Source organism: Homo sapiens, chromosome 18 (assembly GCF_000001405.40).
Source record: "Homo sapiens chromosome 18, GRCh38.p14 Primary Assembly".
Lineage (NCBI taxonomy): Eukaryota > Metazoa > Chordata > Mammalia > Primates > Hominidae > Homo > Homo sapiens.
In genome coordinates, this window is record NC_000018.10 from 62,922,882 (window position 1) to 62,943,494 (window position 20,613).

The 20,613-nt window shown below is 37.9% G+C and overlaps 1 protein-coding gene across 1 annotated transcript in view, besides 1 other annotated feature; it reads left to right on the plus strand.

The window, feature by feature from the left end:
* The window catches only part of PHLPP1 (PH domain and leucine rich repeat protein phosphatase 1), a 264,893-nt gene that overhangs the window by 207,341 nt on the left and 36,939 nt on the right, over positions 1-20,613 (plus strand). Inside the window, exon 11 of the mRNA NM_194449.4 lies at positions 18,837-19,037. Coding sequence (NP_919431.2) covers positions 18,837-19,037 — 201 coding nt within the window. The remainder of the gene's footprint in view (positions 1-18,836; positions 19,038-20,613) is intronic.
* Positions 19,106-20,305: an enhancer, noted in NCBI's record as "BRD4-independent group 4 enhancer chr18:60609220-60610419 (GRCh37/hg19 assembly coordinates)". NCBI's record gives its function as "activates an origin of replication core promoter dependent on BRD2, P300/CBP, MED14 and CDK7 cofactors, and independent of BRD4, by STARR-seq in HCT116 cells {active_cell/tissue: HCT116}" and the evidence as "EXISTENCE:reporter gene assay evidence [ECO:0000049][PMID:35650434]".

Here is a 20,613-nt window from a genome sequence, read left to right on the forward strand (position 1 = left end):
GACTCCCAGGATTGAGAACCACTGCCTTCATTGTTGGCTTTGTAATTCTGTGCAGGTCATTCTAAACCTGGGTTTTCTCATTTTGCTTATTTGTGCAATTCCCAAACGGTACCTGTATGTTGGAAAAGGAAGGATTGTGTGAACTGGAACGTGAATGTGAACTGAACAAAGATGTGAACTGAGCCAGTGGAAGGACACTGCTATCATAAGCTAGGCCAGCAGTGTTAGCTAAAGGCATTTAGGCAGAAATCCCCATACAAATAGACTGACCTGTCTACAGCCAGCTGCATTTTTGAAAACAGGGACCGTGGGGGACAATTTGCCAGCCTTTGGAGGCTGCGAGGGGAGGACAGGGCAGGATAAATGCATTTCTGGCACAGGAGAGTTCTGGAGTAAAGGGTTGGGGGAATGAGAAGGGGCAAATATCTTTGTTTTATTTTATGAGAGTAAAACAAATGACCAAAAAATGGGAGAAATAAGAAACTTTTTCAAGAAGACATACTCCTGCACCTTTGTTTTCCAAGCTGTAATTGCTACATCTCCAGCATAGCATAGCAACTGATATAGTAGAATCAGAGAGAAAAGTTAAGATTGTTAATTATCTTGGGCAGACAGGATTATGTGAAGGGGGTGGGATAAATTTGATTAGCTGTTTTTTTAAACCTATTTTTGTATTAGTTCACTTGTTAGAAGATAAGAAAAATCATATTTTCTAATGATTTCCACCAAATTATTGCCTTTAAAGGTTAATACTTAGCCTCTTTGCACAACCTCAATAATGGAAATTTTTACCTACCTATTTTTAAAAATTTTATTACTTTTTTTTATTGAGGCATAATTTAAACTCAGGAAAATTGACAAATATCGTGTATTTGGTTTGATGAGTTTGAGGGGGAAATGAATAAACTAGTACTGACAGTTGTTGAAGTAGGCCAACCCGGAAAACATGAAATTTAAAATATTAAAGACAGTTTTTAGGAAAGATTCTTTGTGACTGGCTTCTTGCAGGTGGTTTCAGTTGTGATTTGTTTTTGTTCACATGGTTCAATGTAGCAGACATCTCAATGAGTTTAAATCACTGTGCTGGATGCATAGGACATTGAGAAATGACTAAACATAGGAATTATCCTCAAGAAGCTTACAATCGAATGAAGAGTTTAAACTAACTGCACAATAAACTATAGTGAAAGGTAGGTTTAAGAAGGTAGAATAGACGGAAAATTACACGGTTGGTCTAGTATAATTTAGGCTCATGGTATAATGAGCAACATTTTGTTGTTGGATGATACAAAGCTGTGTGTTTGGCAAATAGCTGCAGGCATTGGTGAGACTTTGCTTCAGTTGCCCTTCCATTCAGTTTGCTACTTAATACAAATCTTAAAAATATGGAAATTCCTTTTTTATATTTTTTTGTGATAATAAATTATGGTTACAGTTCTGTGTTTCGTTATATAACTGAGGAAAGGGCTTTATATGTTTCAGTGGTTCGTGTTCTGAAGTAGAACTTGCACTACCAAGTGTCAAGAGAAATATCAGAGAAGCATGTGTTGTTGGACACAGAGCAGAAGACCATATTTTGACTCATGAGAGTTTTCCTTTGCTCTGAATTTTGCCTGCTAAAGCCAGTCTCATAGTTTTAATTACGTGATACTGTCTGTTAAGTATTACAGGGCCAGACACAGTGGCTGACACCTATAATCCCAGAACTTTGGGAGGCCAACACGGGAGGATTGCTTGAGCCTAGGAGTTTGAGACCAGCCTGGGCAACATGGCAAGACCCTGTCACTACAAATTGAAAAAAAAAAAAAAAAAAAAAAAGTCAGGTGTGGTGGCACACACCTCTGGACTTGGAAGGCTGAGGTGGGAGGATCCCTTGAGCCTAGGAGTTCGAGGCTGCCGTGAGCTCTGATCACGCCACCTACACTCCAGCCTGGGTTACAGAGTGTGACCGTGTCTCAAAAAATGAAAAAAAGGTATTACAACTTTAGAATAGTATATATTAATCTGCTATACCTGGTAGCAGGAAGCTATTTGGTAACCAAATAACAAACAGGGGAATCTATGTTACATTAGACAACTTTTAGTTATCTTCATCTTCCTCTAAATACTTGAGGAAGATATTCTAATCTAGATCATGGGCCTAGATTTCTCATTTACCTGTCTTTTTAATTAGAGTTGAGGATTTTCCTGATGGAAACCCCAAAAGAGTTTCAGATAATTAGTTGTCATCAACAGATGGGTGCAAGGAGGGTAGACATTCTCCATGGGTCACCGGAGTGGATGAGACATTGCCAGAGGGATTGCCATCCTTCTGTTTCTTCCTGAAATCTTGGCATTGGCTGACTCCCTGTCCATCTAGCATCTGCATGCACATTTGATGGCCAGACCGCTTTTCCTATTAAAGTCAGCCTAATTAACAAAGCCGAAAATGGACCCTTTAAAGGGGAGTTATAGGTCCCTGCTCTGGGAGGGCAGCCAGGTCTGTTTTTATTCCTGGGTGGACTAGTACAAGGTATTTTCAGGGGCAGAAGTTGGGGAAGTGTATGTTCAAATGAGCTTTGTGGTAATTGCTCATGTGTGCTTATTAAATATTCCCAGAGTATTAGTCACATTACAGGCCATAAGTTTCAGTGACTCAGAATATGTGTAAATATCAAAGGGACTAAAAGGGAACAGAAAATTTAGAAGAGCATGATCGATTGACCATGACAACTGGTGCCTTTTGGCAAAGACAGATATTTCTGGCATTTTAAAAATCTGAGTTGTAGGCAACTATTTTTTTCAGTGACGAGGGCTATCTTTTGACATTCTGATGTATCGTGAAGTTCTGATGTTTTGAGAGTGAAGTTCTGATGTTTTCAGAGTCACAGTGGACTAAGATAGTGTTTCTCAAAGTGTTTTCAGAATTTCCTAGAGTACTTACCAAACATGCAGATTCTTGGCTCTTATCTCAGGTCTTCTCCCTTCGATTTTAGAGGGATAGTCTGGGAACTGTATGTTTATCAAGGCTCCCCCAGTGACTCCAGTGCAGATGGTCTGCTGAACACACTGAAAGCTTAAGGTGACCCAGGTACTACTGCTGAAACAAATAGATTTTTATAAAAGAAGGATTTTAATGGAAAAACTGAATGTGTCTAGAGATATTTCTAGATAACATATACATCCCCTCTCTGCTTTTTAAAGTGTTGTGTTCCTCAAATATTTTAAGGTATAGTTCTTAACCAGGGTTATTACATCAAAATCAACTGACAATTTTTTCAAAACTAGAGAATCAGTCAATGATGTTTAGAATACTATGAAGGGGAAGAGAATTTTCATTCTTTTCTCTCCCCTATTTCTCCCAAAAAAATCTACCTCAGTCCTGGAGAACGGAGTTGAGTGGGGGCATTGGAAAGTGGCCGATTATGTAATCTTAGCAAGGTTGGAGTTCTGGTGGCAAACTCCATTTTTCTTAACCAGAACAAACCAGAAAGGTTTAGCCAGAAGCTTCCAAGTATTCCTGTGTTCAGCTGTGAACATTGCTCTGAGATTGAAAAGAGGCCCTTCGTAGATTATCAGAAGAGTTCTGCCTGTACTCTGAGAGACTGCTTTGGTCATCTTTGCCCCTGTTTCTCTGATGCTCCTAAAATGGATGAGATGGGCGAGTCCACCCTGCCAGTGAGGGGTGTGCGTATCCCCAGAAACCATGAAAATGCATTAGGACAGGGGTTTTTGCACCACGATGATTCTCAACTCTGCCAGCCATCAGAATTCTGCTATATAGATTTTGAGGCCCTACCCTGACCTACTTAACAAGAATATCTCCGAGTTGAAGTTGAGAATTCTGCACTAAGGAAAGCTCCCTAGAGAATTAGGAAGTGCAGCCAGATTGCACCCTACTGAGCTAGAGCATCTTCTGTGAGAAATGTTGTTCCTTTAGCAGCTCCAAAGTGTGATAGCCCCCATCTTAATTCAGTGAGAGGATAATTTATAAATAAAAAGAGAAATAAGCATCAATTCCCAGCAATTACACTTTGACTGTATCCATGCTATACCCTAAGGTTTTGTGTCAAGCGACGGCAGATTCAGAAAAACTGGGGAAGAGAGAAGAGGAAAGCTGGTAGTGGGGCTTTAGGTGGGTCTACCACTACCACCTAAGTTTAGGTATAAGTAAGTGCAACTTGAAGGGATAGCAAGCCAGAAATACAGTAATTGAAGGAAAATTGGCAATTGGATTGGTAAAGAGGAAGCGAAGCAAATGGGGAAAACTAAAGGTTCTACAAGACAAGTGAACCAGAACATCAGAGGACACACAGCCCTTCCCTACTCAGTCCAAACAAAGAGATCCCTTAATGTATCTTCACTTATCTGTGCTGATAGAAGATATAGCATCGAACTAAGAAACTTGTAAAAACAACCTGATACCCTGAAAATGACTGGGAAAAAGATGAACAGATCCATATTGGGTTATTGGCTCCCAAAATAAGAAAGCAAAAAACAACATATGTCCACTGTCGAATAGTTCGTACCCCAAAAAATCTATTGTGAAGCCTAAGAAAACTATAAGACAACATTCCCAGCAAAATTAAATATAGTCAAGTGAACATTTTATGATATAAAACAAAGAAATTAAGGAACTGAGAACAAAGTGGACAAACAGGAAGGGCTGGAAAGAAGTGATTGAACTCAGAAAATGGAAGAAAATGACAGTTATCTGAGAAATGAGGAGTAATTACAGGGTGCCCAAGGGAGAATACACCCGAAAAATTAATAAGGGACATTAAAGAAACAAAGGAAAATGAAGAGGATGAAAATAAGATAAAGAATTATTTGAAAAAGTTAGAGATAAAACAGTGGAAATGGAAGACAGATCCAAAAGGCATAACATTTGTATATGTGTCCTTGAAGAACAAAGACAAAAAAAAAATTGACAGAACTATTATTTAAAAATACCATTCAAGGAATTTTTTCAACAACAAACAAAATACCTTAAAGTACATGTGAAAAAGAGTATCGATTGGATACCTGGAATAAACCCAGAATGTTCCATTTTAAAACTTATTATATTAAAACTATTAGATTTTGAAGATATAAATAATTATGACCACCAGTAAAAAGATAAAATAGTTTTAAAAGGCAAATATTTAGATTGTCATTAGACTTCTCAAAAACATTATACAATGCAAGGTAATAACGGAGTAATGTTTTTTAAAAACTTAATGAAAGATTGACTCAGGGTTTTTATATCAAGCCAAGTCTCCTTTAAGATCTAAGTTATAGAAAACTGTTAAACATGTAAGCACCAAAAACATAAGCAACAACTAAAAAAATAGATAAATTGGATTTGATCAAAATTTAAAACTTGTGTGCTTCAAAGGATACCATCAAGAAAGTGAACGTGCAACCCACAGAAATATATCTGATAGGGAACTTGAAAGAACTCTTACAATTCACAATAAAGAAGACAAATAGCTGAATGAAAAATATGCTCACAGGATTTGAATAGACATGTCTCAAAAGAAAATATACAAATGGCCAAGAAACACATAAAAAGATGCTTAACATCATTAGCCATTGGGGAAATGTAAACAAAAACCACAATCAGATATGACTTATACCCACTAGGGTGGCTATAATCAAAAACACAGTAACAAATATTGGACAAAATGGAGAGAAACTGAAACCTCGTACACTGCTGGCAGGAATGTAAAGTGATGCAAGTACTTTGGAAAACAGATTGTCAGTTCCTCAAATAATTAAACACAATATTACCCAGCAGTTCTACTCTTAGGTATATACCCAAGAGAAATGAAAGCATATATGTTTACACCAAACTTGTATATGAATGTTGATAGCAACATTATTCATAACAACTGGAAAGTAGAACTCAAATGTCTACCACTTGATTAATGGATAAACAAACTGTTATAATAGATAGTGGAATATTATTCACCAGTAAAAGGTACTAGTATATGCAGCAACATGGATAAACCCTGAAAGCAGTATGCTAAGTGAAAGAAGCCAGACACAAAAGGATACATGCTGTATGATTCTTTTTATATGAAATATTTGGATTTGGCAAATCCATACAGATAGAAAGTAGATCCAGGGGATGTGAGGAAGGGAGAAATGATGAGTGACTACAGATGGGTATAGGGTTTCTTTATGGAATGATGAAACTGTTGTGGAATTATATGGTGGTGATGGTTGCACAAGTTTGTGAAAAAAACTAAAAAATCACTAAGTCACACAATTTAAAAGGGTATATTTTATATTATGTGAATTACGTCCCTATAAAGCTGTTTTTTTAAAGACCTCAAGGACTTAGAGATCTGTGCACCCATGATCCCTTCTCCAGGAATCTGCTAAAGCTGTTAAGTCTGATTCAAAGCCTGTAGTCACATGTAGCTTTTTAGGTATACACACACCATAAAATTCATCCTCTTAAGAAAGTATATAATCCAGTGGCTTTTAGTAGTAATTTAAATAAATTGTAATTTATAAATATGTAAGAGTTAATTCATTGTATTAGTCAACATTTTAGGTGCTCAGTAGCCACATGTAATAGTGGGTACCATGCTGGAGAGTGAAGACATGGAACATTTCTGTCCACACAGAAAGCTGTTTGGGCGTGATGTACCAGAGGATGAACTTATCCCACCAAGAAATAACTAGTATATTTTAGCAAAAGGAATGATAGTGAGCATTTTGGTATATATAAATGTAGATTTGAGACTGAAAGGTGGGAAAGAGGGTGGAAGACTAATATACAAAAAGTGGTGACAAACTGTTAGTAACGCAGCTTGACTGGGAGTGGTGGCTCATGCGTGTTGTCCTAGCACTTTGGGAGGCCAAAGCAGGAGGATAGCTTGAGGTTAGGAGTTTGAGACAAGCCTGGGCAACATAGCAAGACCCTGTCTCTACAAAGAATTTTTAAAATTAGCCAGGCATGGTTACATACACTTAGAGTCACAGCTGCTTGAGAGGCTGAGGCAGGAGCCTCTCAGGAATCCTTGAGTCCAGGAACTTGAGGGTGCAGTGAGCTATGATTGGACCACTGCACTCTAGCCTGAGTGACAGACCGTCTCTAAAAACAAAATAAAAAATAATGCGCTTAGAAATGGGAAGAGAGAAAAAGGAAAAAGTAAAGTAGAAGGAGCTTATCGATTGCCATCTAGGCAATAGGTGTAACTTACAGAATGCTGACAAAAACTGGCAAGCCAGATAAGAAATGATTAAATAAAAATCCAAGGGGATAAGGTCATTTAATAAGACATAAGTACAAAGATAACCATAGAACAAAAACACGAACTTCCTTAAATACCAGAAAAATTAATGTGTTAAAGAAGGCATAATATATATCCTATAGAGAGGGAAACATGGCAAATATGAATATGAAATAATTATGACAGAGTTGAGACTCAGATATATCAGTACATGTGCTTGAACCCAACCTTCTATTGCCTTCAAGAGACCCATCTCACATGTAATGACATCTATAGACTCAAAGTAAAGGGAAGGAGAGAGATCATGCAAATAGAAAACAAAAGAGTAGGAGTTGCTATTCTTGTATCAGATAAAACAGACTTTAAACCAACAACAGTAAAAAAAAATTGCATTATATAATAAAGGGTTCGATTCAACCAGAAGATTTAATTATCCTATGTACATACTCACCCAACATCAGAGCATCCAGATTTATAAAACGAATACCAGACCTAAGAAAAGAGATAGCGATACAGTAAAAGTAGGGGATTTCAGTATCTCATTAAACAGACTATCAAGGCAGAATACTAATTCTGGACTTAAATTTGACATTTGACCAAATAGACCTAATAGATGTCTAGAATACTCTATCCAACAACCACAGAATATACATTCTTCTTATCTATGCACAGAACATTCTCAAAGATTGACTACCTGCTCAGTCATAAAGCAAGCCTCAACAAATTCAAAAAATTGAAATCCTGTCAAGCATCTTCTCAGACCACAGTGGAATAAAACTAGAAATTAATACCAAGAGAAACTCTCAAAACCACACAAATAGGGCCGGGTGCGGTGGCTCATGCCTGTAATCACAGCACTTTGGGAGGCCGAGGCAGGAGGCTCACGAGGTCAGGAGATCAAGACCATCCTGGCTAACACAGTGAAAGTCCCATCTCTACTAAAAAAGAAAATACAAAAAAATTAGCCGGGAATGGTGGCACGTGCCTGTAGTCCTAGCTACTTGGGAGGCTGAGGCAGGAGAATTGCTTGAACCCGGGAGGCAGAGGTTGCAGTGAGCCAAGATCACACCACTGCACTCCAGCCTGGGTGACAGAGAGAGACTCCATCTAAAAAAAAAAAACAACAACAACAACAATGAATACATGGAAACTAAACAGTTTGGTCCTCTGATTGACTTTGGAATAAACACAAAATTGAGGGAATTCTTTAAAACAAATGAAAATAGAGACACAATATACCAAAGCCTCTGGGATACAGCAAAGGGAATGTTTATACCACTAAGTGCCTACATCAAGAAAACAGAAAAATCTCAAGTTAACAACTAATTGTTGGACCTAAAGGAACTAGAAAAAACAGAACACACTAAACCCAGAGCTAGCAGAAGAGAAGAAATAACTAAAATCAGAGGAGAACTAAATGAAATTGAGACCAAAAAAAAAAAAGAGTCAGTGAAACAAAAAGTTGGTTCTTTGAAAGGATAAACAAGATTGATAGACTACTCGCTAGATTAACAAAAAAAAAAAAGGGCCGGGCACGGTGGCTCATGCCTGTAATCCCAGCACTTTGGGAGGCTGAGGCAGGTGGATCATAAGGTCAAGAGTTTGAGACCAGCCTGGCCAATATGGTGAAACCCCATCTCTACTAAAAATACAAAACAATTAGCTGGGCATGGTGGCACATGTCTATAATCCCAGCTACTAGGGAGGCTGAGGCAGGAGAACTGCTTGAATCCGGGAGGCGGAGGTTACAGTGAGCCGAGATGGCGCCACTGCACTCCAGCCTGGGCGACAGAAAAAAAAAAAAAAAAAAAAAGATCCAAATAAGCACAAATTGAAAATGACAGAGATGAGATTACAGCTGATAGCACAGAAACAGAAAAGATCCTCAGAGAGTACTGCAAATATCTCTACACACACAAAGTAGAAAATCTAGAGGAAATGGATAAATCCCTGGAAACACACAGCTTCCCAAGGTTGAACCAGGAAGAAATCAAAATCCTGAACAGGCCAATAATGAGTTACAAAATTGAGTCAATAATAAAAATCTACCAATGGAAAAGAAAGCCCCGGAGCAGGTGAATTCACATCCGAATTCTACCAGACATGACAAAGAAGGGCTGGTACCAATCTTGTTGAAACTATTCCAAAAAGTTGAGGGGGCAGGATTCCTCCCTAACTCATTCTATGAAACCAGTATCATCCTGATACCAAAATCTGACAAGGATACAAAAAGGAAAATAACAAGCCAATATCTCTGATGAACATAGACACAAAAATCTTCATCAAATAAGTAGCCAGCTGAATTCAGCAGCATATCAAAAAGATAATTCATCATGCTCAAGAAAGCTTTATTCCTGGGATGCAAGGATGGTTCAATAAACACAAATCAATATATGTGATTCACCACATAAACAGAATTAAAAACAAAATCTGTATCATCTCAATAGATGTGAAAAAAGTCTTTGATTAAAATCCAGTATCCCAACATGATAAAAACTCTCAACAAACTAGGCATCAACGGAATGTACCTCAAAATAATAAGAGCCATCTATGACAAACCCACAGCCAACATCATACTGAATGGGCAAAAGTTGAAAGTGTTCCCCCTAACACTGGAACAAGACAAGTATGCCTACTCTCACCACTCCTATTGAACATAGTACTAAAAGTCCTAGCCAGAGCAGTCAGGCAAGAGAAAGAATAAAGGTCATCCAAATAGGAAAAGAGGAAATCAAATTATCCGTTCGTTGATGATACGATTCTATACCTAGAAAACCCTAAAAGTTCCTCCAAAAGACTCTCAGACTTGATAAACAACTTCAGTAAAGTTTCAGGATTCAGAATCAGCACCCGAAATCAGTAGCATTCCTATACACCAGTAACTTTCAAGCTGAGAACCAAATCAAGAATACAATCCCATTTACAATAGCAAAAAAATGAAATAAAATACCTAGGAATACATTTATCCGAGGAGGTGAAAGATCTCTAGAAGGAGAACTATAAGACACTGATGAAAGAAATCAGAGATGACACAAACAAGTGGAAAAACATTCCATGCTCGTGGATTGGAAGAATCAGTATCATTTAAATGGTTATACTGCCCAAACAGTCTACAGATTCAATGTAATTCCTATCAAACTACCAATGTCATTTTTCATGAAATTAGAAAAAAATTATAAAATTCATGTGGAAACACAAAAGAGCCAAATAGCCAAAACAATCCTAAGCAAAAAGAACAAAGTCTTAGGCATCACATTACCTGACTTCAAGGTAATATACTGCAAACACTGTAGGTAATGAAAACAGCATCGAACTGTTACAAAAACAGATGCATAGATCAAAGGAACAAAATAGAGACCTGGGAATAAAGCCATACACCTACAACCAACAGATCTTTTGACAAAGTCAACAAAAATAAACAATGAGGAAAGGACACTCTATTCAGTAAATAGTGCTGGGAAAACTGGTTAGCCATATGCAGAAGAATGAAACTGGACCCCTACCTCCCACCATATACAAAAACTAAAGATGGATTAAAAACTTAAATATAATACCTCAAAGGATACAAATCATAGAAGAAAAACTCTTCTGGACATTGGCCTGGGCAAAGAATTTATGACTAAGACCTCGAAGGCAAATGCAACAAAAACAAATATTGACAAATGGGACTTAATTAAACTAAAGAGCTTCTGCACAGCAAAAGAAACAACAGAATGAACAGACAATCTACAGAATGGTAGAAAATATTTGCAAACTATGCAACTGGCAAAGGACAAATATCTATAAGAAACTTAAATAAGAAAGAAACAACCCCATTAAAAAGTGAGCAAAGGACATGAATAGACACTTCTCAAAAGAAAAAATTCAGGCTGCCAGCAAACATGAAAAAATGCTCAACATCACAATCATCAGAGAAATGCAAGTTACAGCCATAATGAGATACCATCTCAACACCAGTCAGAATGACTATTAAGTCAAAATATAACACATGTTGTCAAGGATATGGAGAAAAGAGAACATACATTGTTGGTAGGAATGTGAATTAGTTCAACCCCTGTGGAAAACAGTATGAAGATTTCTCAAAGAGCTAAAAATAGAAATATCATTCCACCCAGCAATCACACTACTGAATATGTACCCAAAGGAAAAGAAATCATTTATCAAAAAGACACCTTCCCTGCACTCATATGTTTATTGCAACACTATTCACAATAGCAAAGTCATGGAATCAACCTATGTACCCGTCGGTGGTGAATTGGATAAAGAAAATATGGTACATATATACCATGGAATACTACACAGCCATAAAAAAGAACAAAATTATGTCCTTTGCAGCAACATGGATGCAGCTGGAGACTGTTATCCTCAGTGAATTAATACAGAAACAGAAAAATACTGCACATTATTTCTTAATACATGGGGGCTAAACAGTGTATACACATGGCCATAAAGCCGGAAACAAGAGACACTGAGGACTCTGAAAGAGATAAGGGATATACGGTTTGAAAAACTACCTATTGGGTACTATTTGGTGGTACCCAAATATTTGGGTGATGCCTAAATGCCAGCATTACACAATTTACCCGTTTAACAAACCTGCACATATACCTTCTGAATCTAAAATAAAATATACATGTACTTGAACTTAACTTACCCCCAAAATGGAAACAACCCAAATGTTCCTCAGCTCATGTGTGGATAAACAAGGTGTAGCCATATGTGAATTATGAATTATATCTCAATAAAGCTGTTAATAAAAAAATAAGGAAAATAGTACCTCAGGTATGGAGGGATACTTCTTTAACATTATATACACACACACTTAGTCCTAAAGCCAATTTCTTAATGGGGAAACCCCATTGGTATTTCTACTAAGATCAGTAACAGGACAAGAAAGCCCGTTATTTTCACTCTTATTCAATATTATATTAGATATATTAGCCAGGTAATTAGACAAGAAAAGATCAATTAGAGGCATGAGCGTTGGGTAAAGAAGAGAGAAACTATCTCTATTGCAGTTAACATGATAGTATACTTGGAAAACCCTAGAGAATCACTGATAAATGAATTCAGACAACAAAGTATTTCAACAAAGTAGCAGGGATATAAAGTTAATATGCAGAAATCAAAAGCCTTTGTATACACAAACATAGCCATTGGAAGACATATTATATTGGTAGTGAAAATCCCATTTAAAATAGCATCAAAGGAGGTTACTTAAGAATAAATAAGAAATGTGCAAAAACTGTATGAATAAAACGTTAAAACACTTCTGAAATTTGCAAATTTGAACAAATGAAACAATATTCCTTGTTCTTAGATAGGACGACTTAATATTATTAAGATATCAGTTTTTTGTAGATTACTTTGCAAATTTAACACAATCATCATGTAAATACCAAAATGCTTTTATGATCAAGTTAGACAAATTGATGCTACTGTTCATATGGTTAAAAGAATCATATAAGAATAGCCGGGAAAACACTGAAAAAGTAAAACTATTAATACAAGGGAGAGACAAACCTTACCAGACAGCTAAACATGTATGTTTTAGTTCTTTCTGCTGAGAAGAAGGCCTAGAAATAGTGACACGCCAGTACCAGGAAGTATATCTAACATCAAGACCTTGGTTTTTGGCCGGGTGCCATGGCTCCTGCCTGTAATCCCAGCACTTTGGGAGGCCGAGGTGGGCGGATCACCTGAGGTCAGGAGTTCGAGACCAGCCTGGCCAGTGTGGCAAAACCCCGTCTCTACTAAAAATACAAAAATTAGCCGGGCTGGTGATGCATGCCTGTAATCTCAGCTACTTGGGAGGCTGAGACAGGAGAATCACTTGAACCCAGGAGGTGGAGGTTGCAGTGAGCCGAGATCAAGCCATTGCACTCCAGCTTGGGCAACAGAGCAAGACTCCATCTCACAAAAAAATAAAATTAAATAAAAAGACTTTGCTTTTTAAGTATCATTCTTCAACAAAAGGAATCAGGTGTCCTTGGAAACAGGATTGAGTGTAGGGCTAGAGCAGGCTGAATACAAGATGAGCCCAAAAGTAAAGAAATGCTCACAAAATGACGGGAGCATGTCAAAGGATGCGTGAGTCAACTTGAAGGAGCTCCCAGTGGCCACATTTGGGACAACGTGAGCAAAAAGTACACAATGATAGTAATAAATTCTATCCAGCAGAATAAAATAAACATCAATATGACCATACTGAAATAAAGCAAGTAATTAGGTAAATAAATTGGGAGAGCTCTTGTAGGATAATTCCATTTAACAAACTGTAAGTAGAGGGAATCATGAAAATAGAAAAATCACTTGGCAAACAACACAGAAATGATTGTTACAAGCACAAATGCTAAATTAATGGGCAAAAGTATGAGAAACAGAAGAGTTTCATAGTCTCAAATGATCTCTCCACACGTTATTTAATTACAAAAGAAAAAATTATTACTTTGCAGTGGAGATGCTTGGCAGACACCACCTTAACCAAGTAATCAAAGTTAATATCTCCAATAATAAGACATTGGCCTCACATATATCCTGATGTGATGCCCTGAGAAGGGCACAACCTCTGCGATATTTTTGCCAAAAACGCATGACCTTACTCTAATGATGATGAAACATAAAACCTAAATTGAGAGACATTTTACAGAATGTTTGTCGAGTACACTTCAAAAACATCAAGGTCATCTAAGATAATAAGACTGATTGGAGAAGAAAGGAGGACTGATAATGAAATACAACGTGAAGTGTCAGCCTTGTGAAGATAGATGGAACTGTCAAAAGTACTTTGTTATAAAAACAAGCAATAATAAGAAACTTGGAATGTTTACACTTCTGGAATGCTTCGGAGACAGAAATCAGAGGGTTGCCTAAAAGTAAGAGTTTTGCTGGGGTTAGACAGTTGTGACTATGTAGAGTTTTAATGGTATATAAGTCCCAGTACAGATTTCCAGAAAAATCATTTTTACAATACCTGGTATGTCTACAAATAGATAAATCTGTTATGGTACCAAATCCTGTGCCCTGTTTCTAAGAGAATTTGGCTGTAAAATTTAAGGGTGTGCTGGAAATTACTAAAAAGCAAACAAAACAAAAAATATATAGATGAGTCAAATGGACAGAATATGCCAAGGAGAGCAGAGCAATTGCTCAAGAAGCAGGAAATGGATTTGTCTCACTGTTGTTGCGGGTGACTTTCCAAACACTTTAGGGCAGGAGCCATATCTGTGTGTCTTTTCTCTGAGACTTTTGAACTCTATGCTGAGAGAAGTTCTTGAGTACTGTGCTATTTACTAACTTGTTTTAAGAATTGAGTTTGAAATGCTGTGCACACGTGGTCTTCACATTACATGCAGGTGCCCTGCTTGACCCTCCAGCTCTTTTAGAAAAAAAGGACCTATGAAAATGTCCCCACAAAAAGGTTTTTATAATTATTTTTCAACATTTGAATTTTGGAGACACATGGTAGAAAACTGTGGACTTGAGACTGATGAAATCCGAGTTTTATTTCTGTCTCTGCCACTAGTTACTATTGAGCCATTGCCAAATAATGTTACTTTCTCAGCTTTGAGTTTTGTCTTTCGTGAAATATGAGAGGTTATATCTCTGGGGTGATGGAAAAATCAAATGAGATAGAAAATAGTGGCCAGGTGCAGTGGCTCACACCTGTAGTCCCAGCACTTTGGGAGGCCTAGGCAGGTGGGTCACTTGAAGTCAGGAGTTCGAGACCAGCCTGGCCAACATGGTGAAACCCTGTCTCTGCTAAAAATACAAAAATTACCTGGGCATGGTGGTGCATGCCTGTAATCCCAGCTACTCAGGAGGCTAAGGTGGGAGAATTGCTTGAACCTGGGAGGCGGAGGTTGCTGTGAGCCAAATGCCACTGCATTCCAGCCTGGGCAACAGAGCAAGACTCTGTCAAAAAAGAAAATAAAAAAGAAGAAGGAAGAAAGGTCTGTGGTGTCTGTGGAATCTACAAAGTACCTTACAAATGAAAAGAAAACAGTCATATGTTACTGCTTTTTCTCTAATTAGAAGAGGATTGCATAGTGAAAAATGTTATATGGATGAAGCATGAAACAGCTGTTGGCACATTAAACCATCTTTTTTATAGTATACTTATTACAAAATTCTGTAAGGAAGAAGCTTGAGGATAGTTATCACATCATACAGAGTTGAGACCTGACTCAGCCCTTTAAGAATTCAGCTTTTTTGCAAGGTTGAAAGCAGAGAGTGGGGTTCTGGAGCCTATTTATTTACTAAAATTGTTAACCATCCTGGAGAAACTTTGCAAAACTAAAGTATTTGTTCGTTCTGGTGGAAGGATGAAATGTAGACTATTAAACCAATTTAAATTGTCTCCTGCTGAAACATTGTGAGGTTTTAGGAAGAATGGCTTAAGTGAATGGGTATTGAATTTAATTTTCCTGATACTATGATAATAAAAAATATTTTTAGTCCAATTGTTTGCTCTTTGACTATTAACCAGCAAGGTGATTAAGTCAGACTTTATGCAGTTCAGATGATGTCCTTTGGAACCACTTCATGTGGTTTCAACTAACTAGTTTCATTTCTTGGAGGTGGATGATGCTGGCAGTTTCCCCCTTAATTTTGCATAAAAGGTATATAGTTCCTTAATTACAGACAACTTTCAAAAAGATGAGAGGATAAATCTTTGAGGAAATCACTTTCTTCCCTTTATTCAGATGCCATGAGGGGTTTTTTAAGTTGCTTGGCAGCTTTCTAGATGAGCATTCACTTGTCTGTTTTTAAAACATTCCCTCTTTTTCTGGCCTAAAAAATATGCAAACATGAATTCACTTTGTTTTATCGCATGTGTTTGTGTGTGTATAACTACATATTTCCTAGAGAATTCTATTTTTGTCTTTTTTCTTTCTTTCTTTCTTTCTTTTTTTTTTTTTGAGCCGGAGTTTCGCTCTTGTTGCCCAGGTTAGAGCACAATGGTGCAGTCTTGGCTCATTGCAACCTCTGCCTCCCGGGTTCAAGTGATTCTGCTGCCTCACCCTCTCGAGTAGCTGGGATTACAGGTGCCTGCCACCACACCCAGCTAATATTTGTATTTTTAGTAGAGGAGGGGGGTTTCACCATGTTGGCCAGGCTGGTCTCGAACTCCTGACCTCAGGTGATCCACCCGCCTCAGCCACCCAAAGTGCTGGGATTACAGGTGTGAGCCACTGCGCCCAGCTGAGAATTCTATTTTAATGAAATTATTTTATATAGTTTCCCAGCCAACACTAGTCCATGATATTTTAGGGCAATAAAATTTATTTCTTACATTGTAATTTATTCTAATGCTACACTAAAGAAATTCTTAACAGGAAATAAGGTGGTCTAAATGGGATCTAAAGAAACAGACTCATAAAAATACTCTAAACAGCGATGGTAAACAACTATGTTGCTGAAACTTGTTTCCTTCCTACTTCAAAACCATTTCAGAAACTGCAGGAGTGACCTTTATTTCCTTCTCTGTAGCACACACGACTATAATTTCCCGTGACTATTTATGGTCTGGATAGCCGTTCTCTAACTTCCTTTTTTTTTTTTTTAATGTCAACGGAATACGTGTTTCTTTAATGGAAAATGTTCTATTTTGGGGAAGCTGCTTTTCCTCAGATAAGTAATGGAGTTGGTGCTTGTGTGTTGAAGGGGTTGTACAAGATTGAAGAGTTTTAAATTAGTGGACTGAGAGCTTGAAGTGACAGTCCTGGTGAGGACTCCTAGTAGCCTTTTTTTTTCTCTCCAAGATTAAAAATAACTGCCTGGTATTCTGTATTCTTTTTAAGGATGATTTTATTCTTTTTTTTTTTAACAGATGGCAGAATAGTCCTGAATTGAATGGTGAAAGTTTCAAACCAAAGTGATTGAAATGAGGGAATAGTGTGGTTCATCAACAGGGTTGATCTGGGGGCCAGGGGGAGGCATGGGAGATTTCACCCTTCTAACTCTTGTAGGCAAGTGCTATGTACTGAGCACTGTCTCTTTCCCACCTGCTGCAGCTGCACAGTTGGACATTCGTCATGAATCAGGAGGGTCATCTCTGACTCTTGAGGGTGACACAGTCCGTCCCTTTGGAGTGATTTGGAACCTGATCACAGCAAGGATTTGTTGCCATTCCCCAGCTTTGCAATGTGCATTTAACTACATTTCACAATCACCGTGGAGGATTTTTTTTTTTTTGGGCAATTTTACTTATCTTAGTTATAAAACCATTCTTTATATTTTATCCACGTTTCTTTTTCTTTCTTTTCTTTTTTTTTTTTTTTTTTTTTTTTTTTTGAGATGGAATCTCGCTCTGTCGCCCAGGCTGGAGTACAGTGGTGCGATCTCCGCTCACTGCAAGCTCTGCCTCCTGGGTTCACGCCATTCTCCTGCCTCAGCCTCCCGAGTAGCTGGGACTGCAGGCGCCCGCCACCACACCCGGCTAATTTTTTGTATGTTTAGTAGAAACAGGGTTTCACCATGTTAGCCAGGATGGTCTCGATCTCCTGACCTTGTGATCCGCCTGCCTCGGCCTCCCAAAGTGCTGGGATTACAGGCGTGAGCCACCACGCCTGGCCTTTATCCTCTTTTCACTCTAGCATCTGAAAAGTGTGGCAGCAATATATTATCTTGTTTGTTTGTTTTAATGTAAAATTTATTTAAGTACAATATAAATACAGAAAAGAGGCCAGATCATAAGTGTAGCCCTTGATGCTTCGTCTCAAAGTGAGCACACTTGTGTAACCAGCACCTGGACTAAGAAACAGAACATTACAATATTTGAAACGTTACACGCCGTCTCCTGGATACTGCCTCCTTTCCCTCCCCACCTAAGAGTTACTGCCATCCTGACTTCTGTTACTACAGAGTAATTTTGCCTGACTTTGAACTTTATATAGTTATGGGATCATGCAGTGGGTCTCCTCTTGTATCTGGCTTCTTCTGGTCATTATGTGTTTGTGAGATTCATCCTGTTGATACATGTTGTTTTAGTTCTTTATTCTCATTGCTACATCATATTATGTTGTTTTAATAGAGAGCAAATTATCTCCTGCACTTGTGAAAGCCAGTAAAATGTGCTTTGGACTTTATACTGAAGAGGACTCAAGTCACTATGTGATTTAGTTGCATTGTGATCTAATACCTGTTTTATTACTATAAGAACCATTTATTTATTATTTATTTATTCACCTAATTTTTATAGAGGCAGGATCTTGCTTTGTTGCCCAGGCTGGTCTCAAACTCCTGGCATCCTCCTGCTTTAGCAAAAACTTTTGATTACAAAATAGGAAACTGTTTTTCTCTTCCTTAAGTCAGAATATTAACTTTACCATATCACTTTCTCTTCCACTCCCCGCCAACTATAAAAATAATTGCTTCCCCTTACCTTTGTGCTTCCATAAAAATTGGTTGTATCTCTGTGTTTAATACATATAGATAGCTATTGTGGTCATGATAGTTAGTGAATCACAGATACAAATACTTGCTAATTGAACTCCTTGAAGCCAGGGCTTGTCTTTTCAATTCATGTTTCTGATCCCAGCTTCTAATATGCCTGGTATCAAAGCTTTTAGGTTTCTTGAGGGTTTTTGTGACTTTTCAATGGCATTTTGTTGCGTTTTGTCATTGTAGCCTGAGATTCCTGAACGCCTCTGCGAACAAACTGGAAAGCCTTCCTCCAGCCACGCTTTCCGAAGAGACAAACAGTATCTTACAAGAGTTGTATTTGACAAATAACAGCCTCACAGACAAATGTGTGCCCTTGTTAACGGGACACCCCCATTTGAAGATCCTTCACATGGCCTATAACCGACTTCAGAGTTTTCCAGCAAGGTAAAGGACAGTTGTAAAGCTGCGTTCTGAATTGCATTTCTCAAAGTGTATTCATAGAAAGGTGAAGGCTGAAATATTTATTTCCCAGGTGATGTCAAGTTTGTTTGCTTGTTCCTGCTCCCTTCACAGTTTCCTTTATGTAAGCTATGATGACATTTCCCTAAAGAGAAGTAGATTGGTTTTCTTCATATGTGTCCAAAGACCTAATCACAAGAATGTTCTTAAGATTTTGAAATAAAATGTGTTGTTTAGCAGGTATGTTTTTTCTTTTACTTCTTTTTAACCAGTCAGATTAATTTTTTAAAAAACCATTATCCTAGAGCCAGGTGTGGCAGTGCGTGCCTGTAGTCCCAGCTACTCGGGAGGCTGACATGGGAGGGTCACTTGAGCTGAAGAATTCGAGACCAGCCTGGGCAACATAGTGAGACCCTATCTATTAAAAAATAAAGTAAATAATAAAGTTTCCAAAAACATTAACCTAATAGGGTATGTGGGAATTAGAATGTAAACCAGGAACCTGAAAATCCTTCATTATCTACCAAACTTTATATTCATATTCATGATGTACAGAGCAGTGGTAGACTCTACTACCATAGAAACTGTAACATTGCAAATTCTGGCTCTCAAAATAGTCCATTTTTAATTTGTTTTTACTTTAATTTCTAATTTTCGGTGAGCGGTGACATTATATCTAGCTTTGAGTGAATCTGCGTGCTGAGCCTGCCGTGAGGATTTACCGTGTTTCCATTTCATTGGCTTTTATCCATCTAACAAGTTAGGGCTTGAACACACACCCACGCATCAAAGAAACAAACACTAACCCTTCTGGTTTCTGCTTGGTAACTGCAACTCAGCATTGGGGCCAAATCAAAACACTATCATAGCTTCCCTCTGCTGCCTTCAGGGCTACCAGTCTGTTCGAGCCCTTGCTGAAGAAGGAAGGCCCGTGTATATGTTGACTTAAAGTATTGCTCTGTTTTTGGTGTAATGAAATATTTACTTTCCTCCTCATTTGATATTAATAATTAAACTATTTTATGCTTACTTCCATCTACTTTTACTTCACTATGGAATGGGGAAATGATATTTTTGGAAAAAACCATGATAATCACATAACAGCAACCTATCTGAAAGAGCTCATTGTCTTCTTTCAGATGATGAATGTCTAAACCCTGCAGAGGAAAGGATCATCAGCTCTAATTCTGAGGATATACCCCCAGTGACCCGTGCCAGGTGTAATCACCCACCCTAAGTGCAGAGAAACTTTTAACACACCTTGTAAAAAAATCCATCTAGGAATGAATTCTGTCTCCCTGTGGTTGTGATGTGGCTCAGTAGCTCCCCTGCAAACCAGAGCACCTTAAGAGCTGGGTCTGTGACCTTGCTGTATCCCTCAGCCTCATATCTCACACAAGGCCCACACTTAAATGGTTGCTGAATTAAAGAACGGGACCACCATCTAGTCATTTTGTCTTCACATCTTTTGCCACCTTCTTTTTATGTGGCGAGTTGGAAATTTCTTTAACTTTTTCTTTTGGGGGCCTGTTTTCTGTGCTTTTAATCATTTTTCATGCAC